We start from the raw sequence: 8,415 nt of genomic DNA on the forward strand, positions 1-8,415 counted from the left end.
ACACATCTATTAGAACAGCTAAAAAAAAAAAAATAGCAACAATGTCAAACTCTGACAAGGATGTAAAGAGACTGGAAGTCTCACAAATTTCTGTTGGGAATGTAAAGTAGTAGAGCCACTCCAGAAAACAGTTTGACAGTTCCTTAAAAAATTAAACACATCCTTACCATACAACCCCATAACTTCAATCCTGGACATGTACTCCAGAGAAATGAAAACTTACATACACAAACAAATGCACACAAACCTGTACATGAATGTTCATAGTAGCTTTATTCATAATGGCAAAAAACTGGAAACAACCAAAATGTTCCCTAATAGGTAAATGTTAAACAAATCGTGGTACATCCATACCGTGGAATACTACTCAGCAATAAAAAGGAATGGACTATTGATACACACACAACTTAGAGGGATCTTAAGATAATTAAACTAAGTGAAAAATGTGAATCTATTTTATGGTTCTAGTTGTATAACATTCTTGAAATGACCAAATTATAGAGATGGAAAGCAGATTAGTTGTTTCTAGATATCAGGAATGGTGGAAGGGAGGGGACTGGGTGTGACTATCAAGATGTAGCAAGAAGGAGGGCTTTGCAGTGATGGAATAGTTATTTATCTTGATACAAGTGATAAAATACAACTACACATATTCATGGTATCAATATAATTCCCTGGTTTTGATGTTGTATTTTAATTAAGGACAGTATAATCATTGGGTGAAACTGGGTGAAGGGTACGTGGGACCTCTTTCTACTATCTTTTCAATTTCATATGAATCTGTGATTATTTTAAAATAAAATGTTTAAAAAATAATTGGATGCTTAGGACCTCTATAGAGGATTTTATTTATTTCTGCCAGATTTAGAAGCAATACAGGGTCAGGGATTTAGTTGACTTGGATTTGGGTTTGAATGCCTGCCAAGTTGGGCCTACTTTCCATTCAACTTTACACCTAGGATGCAGTCCTTTGGTGTTCCATACACAAAACCCAAGTGATTTTTTTTTTTTTTTTTTTTGAGACGGAGTCTCCCTCTGTAGCCCAGTCTGGAGTGCAGTAGTATGATCTCGGCTCACTGCAAGCTCTGCTTCCCGGGTTCAAGTGATTCTCCTGCCTCAGCCTCCTGAGTAGCTGGGACTACAGGTTTGCGCCAACACAACCAGCTAATTTTTGTATTTTTAGTAGAGACAGGGTTTCACCATGTTTGCCAGCATGGTCTCAATCTCCTGACCTCGTGATTTGCCCACCTTGGCCTCCCAAAGTGCTGGGATTACAGGTGTAAGACACCACGCCCCAAGTGATTTTTTAAACCATGGTTATCCACCCCATCTTTGGCAGGTCCTAGACTCCAACTATCAGCTTCTCAGGTTTTTACCTTAAGGAATTGGCAAATTCCACCTCAAACTTTTTTTGAGATAAAAGTGGTCTCAAATACCTAGCTTACCTTAATGGATTTTTTGCAGAGACAAGGTCTCACAGCATTGCCCAGGCTGGTCTCAAACTCCTTGGCTCAAGCAATCCTCCCACCTCAGCCTCCCAAAGTGCTGGAGATTACAGGTATGAGCCATTGTACTCAGTCTAGAATCTGATTTGTTATGATGGTTTCCATATTTTAATCTGTCTCTTTTTGCACATATGCTGTTATTTATTTTTGTCTTTCTCTTCAGAGGGAAACTTGCTGAGGATTTGCATTGACTTTAGTTGAAGAGAATATGGTTTTTGTTTCCAATATTTCCAGTCCCTTCTATGAAGTATTGCAAAAACCAATAACTTGTATTTAATCTAGACTTTACATCAAATTTCTACTTTACAGAACATTTAAAAGAGCAGAGGAGAAAATATGGGGATGCCTTTAGACAAATCCAGAATTTAGACACCTAATTTGACATTTTTATTTCCCCAACAGTTCAAGGAAATAAAAAATGGTGGTGGTAGTGCTGTGTGTGGGAGGGTCGGGGTGGGGGCACAGTTTTAGAGTAAATGACTTCTTGGTGAGATAACAATCAAATAAAATGGATCAAAATATTCGGATAATGACTGGAATAAACCAGCTGTAAAAGTACTTTTCCCCCAAAAAACAGGATTCAAATTGGGATGCATATTAGATAATACTAAGAATTGTTAATTTTATTTCATGAGGTAACGATTTTGTGGTTATGTTAAAACATCATTATTTTTAAGTGATACAAATAGTATTGGGAAGGGATAAGGCCAGGAATCTACTTTAAAATATTTCAGTAACAAAATTCAATAGTCATAGATATTGCCTGTATGGCAAAATGTTGGGAAGTGTTGAATTTAGGGTAGGCGCATTTGGTGTTTCATGTTATCATTTTCTTTTTTTATTTTTCTTTTTTGTTTTTGAGATGGAGTCTCCTCTGTCAACCAGGCTGGAGAGCAGTGGCGCGATCTCAGCTCACTGCAAGCTCCACCTTTTTGTGTTAATATCGAAAGTTTCATTAAAAAATTTTTTTCCTGCCCAGAAGGAAAGTGGTAAGTACATACTTCCTGTAGTTTGACTTGTTATAGTTATCTGGAGTCCGTCTCCCATCTCAACCTACCCACCTCTTCCTGAATAACCGTAAATTCACATGGCTTAAACAGATTTGTAGAAAAGATACGTTTATGTTAAATATGTGAGGTCAACGGGCAACAGAGGAATAGCCAATTTGAAGCCTGATTTGAACGCAAAAAATTTCAAGACAGGAGCCATTTTCCATATCATATTTTCTAAATTTCCTGCCAGTACAGCTTCCTTCATTTTTCAGATACAACTTGCTCTTTCTGTGCTTGATTTCAAGACTGATTTGTCCTTGGAATTCCTTGTGGATTCTTGGCATCTTGAAATCAATTGTCCGTGCCAGATAGCATAAGCAGAGGTCTAGATGAGTACAGGCACATATAAAGAGGCAACGGAGTTAAACCACGTCTGAGATTCCATATTCCTTAAGGTTATGTCCAGTGGACAGCCCAACTCCCTTTTAGAATCTTGTTTCTTCTCATACTCATCACTTTTCCGCTAAAGTGTGTTTCTTTTCATACTAAAACCTTCGCTTTTATCCCCAAATAGTTATATTTTCTTTATATTTCCACATGCTCGTTTTTTCTTGAGGAAAAAAATTACAAAAATAAAAAGCCCAAGCGCTCATCGCGCTAGAGAAGTGACCTTCAGTTTGAACGCCCTGAACCAACAGAATGAGCTGCAGGAAGGCGGAAGCACTAGCGTGCTGGGCATTCTGGGAACTGTAGTCGGAAGTATTTTCGCCCAGGCTGGTGGAGTCCTTGTCGTCATTCCGCTTAAACATTCTGGGAAGTGTGGGTCAGACGTTTCATATAGTCGACAACACTTCCTCTTCGGGAGTACAGGGTGTGGCCCTCTCGTGTGACTCCGGACTCTGGGAAGTGAGTCGCAGGAACTTCCGCTCCAGGGAAAGTTGCGGCCATCATGCTGCATGTGAGACTTGAGCCCCAGCGACGCTTCTGCGCCTCCTCAGCCTGGATGAGGGACCAAAGATGGTCAAGGCCCTCTGTCTTGAGGAGGAAAAGTGGCAGCCGGCGGAGGATTAGGATTGGAAGTGTTTGCGTTTCCCTCGACTCAGTAGAGCTTTCTAGTGTTAGGGGATGTTCCTGAATCCCGGGTTGGGGAATGAGGCAGGGTCTTGCATCATTGGGTTTGATGGTTTCTTGGGTCCTGTACTCCCGTAGCCCTTCTGTTGGACCCACCAATCAGCATTGCCGCTTCCTAGGGAAGTTTTTGTGGCGTTGGAAATATTGTGTAACTTGATCGTGTTGGTAGTTACATGTCTGTACATATTTGTTAAAACTCATTGAACTATACACTTAACAATAGTAGACTTTATAATGTATGTACATTGCACTTCAATAAATGTGACTTTTTAAAAGTGTCTGGAACTTTATTTTTTTTAAGTGGCAGGACCTCATTACAAGTAAGTTCAGAACTAAGTTAGGACTACTATAATCCTGCTAGCACCACCCTCATGTAAACATTTTCATTTTGGTTTATTTTATACATATATAGATATTTGCTTTTTATTAAATAATGTGTAAATTTTAAATTAGTATTTCAGTTAGTAATATACCATAAGTTAATTTTGCTGTTTCCCACATTCTTCATAAAGTTCATCTTTAATGATTGTGTTGTATTGAATTGAGTGAATGTGCACTTGTTAAACCTGGGCATCTGGGATGTGTTTAAAAATTATTCTCATAATTTTATATATATATGAAATGTTTTACAATTTAAGAGATATATGCTGACTTCCATGCCTCTGTTCATCGTTTTTGTCTATCCTACTTGGGGTACTCATTTCCATGGTCATACTATAGGCCTTAAATTAGCAATAGCTGCAATCCCTCCATAGTCTCCATTTAAGGCATTACACTCTGCTCTACATATTCTCTTGCCAGATCTTCCTGTGGTTTACTGTGATATTGACTTCATCAATTTCTACAATTCATTGATCCTATTGCATTTTCAATATCCCTTATTCATCTCATATCCTCAATACCAACCATATCTTTTCTCTTCTTTCTAGTATAAACAGAAGACTTACACTTACATCTAATTGTTCAAAATATTGTCCTATGACAACCGTAGACTTAAGGAACATTAAGAAAGTATTTTGATTTTCCCCCATTATTTTATAGAAGAGACATGCAGGGTCAAAGGGATTATGAATGGATGCTCTGTGAGCCAGTCAATAGCATATGTCCCAAAGGCTACAGGTTAAGTATATTACCTGGCCCAGCAGCTTTAAAATCATCTTTTGGTCTCCTACTCTAGACAGCAAACTTCAGTTCAGGCACCAGTGATGCTATTATGTGAGGAATATTGACTTGCCTCTGTTTTTGTTTTTAAATAACATCAGATTTGGTATCAGTTATCACTTAAAAGTTATATGTGAGACACTTTCTCAGTGTATGTGACCTTGGCTGGGAAGCATTGCTTTAGAGGTGCAGAGATCAGAGATCAGATAACTTTGATAACTCGGTATGTGCAATGGTAGAAGTATTTTAAACATGCCATGAAAGGGGATATTTCAATTCATAGCATCTATTTTTGGGGAAAAGGCTCCCAAATAGTATTGGCTCAGTCAGTCAGATCACTTGTTTGGAGATAGGGTTGGTAATATGACTCTATGCACTGTGCATACTCTTAGATTCAAGGGTCCCATTCAAGGAATTTATATTATGGTAGCACTCATTTAAAGATCAAGAAAAAATGGACATGGGTGTTCACTAAAGCATACTTTTGTGAACCCAAAAGTATGTGAGACAGGTCTCAATCCATTTAGAACATTTAGTTTGCCAAGGTTAAGTACGCACCTGTGACACAGCCTTAGGAGGTCCTGACGACATGTGCCCAAAGTGGTCAGGGCACAGCTCGATTTTATACATTTTAGGAGAAATCAGGCATCAAACAGTATGTTTAAGTTATACATTGCTTAAGTCCAGAAAGGCAGGACAATCTCAAATGGGAGTGGGAGCTTCTACATCATAGGTAGATAAGAGACAAACAGTGGCATTATTTTGAGGCTCTGATTAGGCTTTTACTGAATACAAAACTCACACGTGAGAGGTGGGTAGACGAATAGTGACTTAGGTCTTAATGTTGCTTAGTGAATATGCATTATTACAGAAACAATAGGTAACAGGAAGCAATCAGATATGCATTTGTTTCAGGTGAACAGAGGAATGACTTTGAGTTCTGTCTGTCCTTTGTCCCACACCTGTGAAGATAAGCTATCAATTTACATTACCAGGGTGAAATTCAACAGAAATGCTTTTGGATAAAGATGTTCAGGCCCACAGGGAATTTCCTTGTTGACAAATTGTGAAGGAGGTATGTAGCTTTTTCTTCTTTATAGCTATCTTATTAAGTAATAAAATGGGATGTTTGCCTGACACAGTTCCCAGCTTGACTTTTCCCTCTGGCTTAGTGATTTGGGGGTCCCGAGATTTATTTTTCTTTCACATTTTGCAAGACTATGGATGCTTAATAGGGTGAGATTAGCAATTGAAAGAGAAAAAATTTTGATTCTTAAAATCTTCACCCTTTCCCTCAAACTCTTTGAACCTTGTTCTTCTTCTAATGGACATTTGTGTGCATGATTGAGGTGTAGTATCTTAGGTGCTGTAGGAAACAGTAATATTCAAGAATGTGCTGTGATCTGCACTAAGGAGGTGATGCTACTGAACAAGGCCAAAATAAATCTACCTATGGAGAAGTATTCTTGCCGAAAACGATGAACCTTAATCTCATCTGCTCTCTAAATCTAAATTGTAGTTTACCAGAGCCACAAAAGATATTCAAGAAAATGTTAAATGGCAGCATAATGAAACATTTTTAAAAATCCAGAATGTGGGACATCTTACTTGACAACTGAACTGATGTCTTCTATAGGCCAAAAGCATGAATTTAAAGTGGATCAAAGGGGGGATACTCTTCCATATTCAAAGAGACTCAAGAGAGAAAACAATCACATGCAAAGAATGGGTATTTTTGAGATGACTGGAAATTTTGAAGTTTCGTTTTGTAGGGTATAAAATAATATTAAGGAATTATTAACTTTCTTCAGTGTGATAGTTGTATTTTTGTTATATTAGAAAATGTAATTCTTTGAAGTATGCATGGGAGTGTTTAGGGGGAAAATAATACAGTGTCATGATTTTGTTTTAAAATTACAATAACAAAAGGGCAGAAAGACAATATTGATAGATAAAGGAAGTGTGGCACATGTTGAAAATTGCTGAATCTCGGTGATGAGGTGATGGAATACTTCACTCTTTACTTCTATTAATGTTTGAAATTTTTCATAATATAAAGGTATGAAAATGTTTAGTTCTTGTCCAGAAGAAAAGTGGTAAGCAGAACCTTCGTGTATTTTTATTTGTTGGATTTTCTGGATTTGCGTCCAACTGTCAATTGACTCACCTGAATGAAATACAGTTATTATTGTATTTATGATAATAAGAATAGGGTGGAAGTGGGTGATGTGATATTTGAACTTGAACAAAAAGAAATTTCAAATTTTTATATATTTATCTCTTTTCATATTATAATAATTCCTCCACATGAACACACCTCCTTTCATTCACTTCATGAGCCATGTTTTATAATGAACAATTAAAGTCAAGGAACACCCAAAAGCTTTTGCTGCTTCTGCTTTATACTTTAATAAACTTTGCATGACCTTCTTGTGGGTCTTATCATGGAATGAATAGCTTATATCTGATAACACCGCCAAGAGTTCTAGATGCATCCAGCACACATGGATTAAAGTAGAAAATCCAGTCAAAGTAGGTTTGAGATCTTGTGTTCCTTACATTCGTGCCCCGTTTCTAAGTTCTGCATTTTTAGCTCACACATATCTTCCCCTTTATAATTTATGCCTCCTTTTCATTTCAAACTGTGTTCTCTACTAAAGGGAATTGGGTGGGGGACAGGGTGGGAGTGGCGTTCAAATACACTTGTTTTGTCACATGTGAAAGAAAAAAAATGAGAATAAGGAAAAAGAAGGCTGAGCTTGACCAGTGAGATAGAATGATTCGGACTGAACCTAGTTATCCAAAATAAAAAGGGAAACGCTGGTGAGAAGCGCTACCTGAAGAGGATTCTGGAAACTGGTCCAAAGGATTCACGGCGTCAAAACCACTTCTGTTCCAGGAAAGGTGGCTTTAATGATTGGGCTTCTGGGGGAAATATTAAGTATAAATTAGAATCCTGTTTTTGGAGACATTTTGGTTTAAAGAAGACAGTGCTGAGTTTGCATTCTGCTCTAGAATTGTGTGACATACAGTCCAAATTCAAACGGTAGTAGCCAGCCCTCCGCCAGAGAAAGGCAACGACATTGCCAATTCTTTGCGAGGATTCTGGGAGCAGTAACCTTGGAGCTCTGTGTAGGCGGCCAGGCTTCTGCTACAGGAGGGCGTGGCTGTGACGATTATCTCATTGGGGATTCTGGGGTTATAATCCAGGAACTGTGGGTAAGTACAGTCACTTCTGCTCCATGAAAGTGAGGTCATCATTCGTTTCAGGAAGTTGAGTGAGGCCTGAGACAGCAATGTTTCGTTTAGCCTGGCGGTGGCCCTCCTTGTCTTCAAGAAGAGCATCCGTGGCTAGCAGTGGAAGATGGGGTTGGGCCCCAGGTGAGTGACCCTTTGTCGAGTTTGCAGAATTTAGTCTTGGCGGGTTGAGAATCTCTTGTATTTTGTGCGCTCTGTTCCTACTCCAGGACTGACCAGGCAGTTCTGCCACCTTCTAGGGGTGTGAAATTGGGAAGTAATTCAAACTGTATGTGCCTAGCATTCCTTTTATGTAACATGAGGGGAATAGAAGTACCAAACCGATGCAGTTCAGTGGAGAATTAAATGAGATAGTCACAAGTAAAAGG

This window comes from Homo sapiens, chromosome 20 (assembly GCF_000001405.40).
Source record: "Homo sapiens chromosome 20, GRCh38.p14 Primary Assembly".
Lineage (NCBI taxonomy): Eukaryota > Metazoa > Chordata > Mammalia > Primates > Hominidae > Homo > Homo sapiens.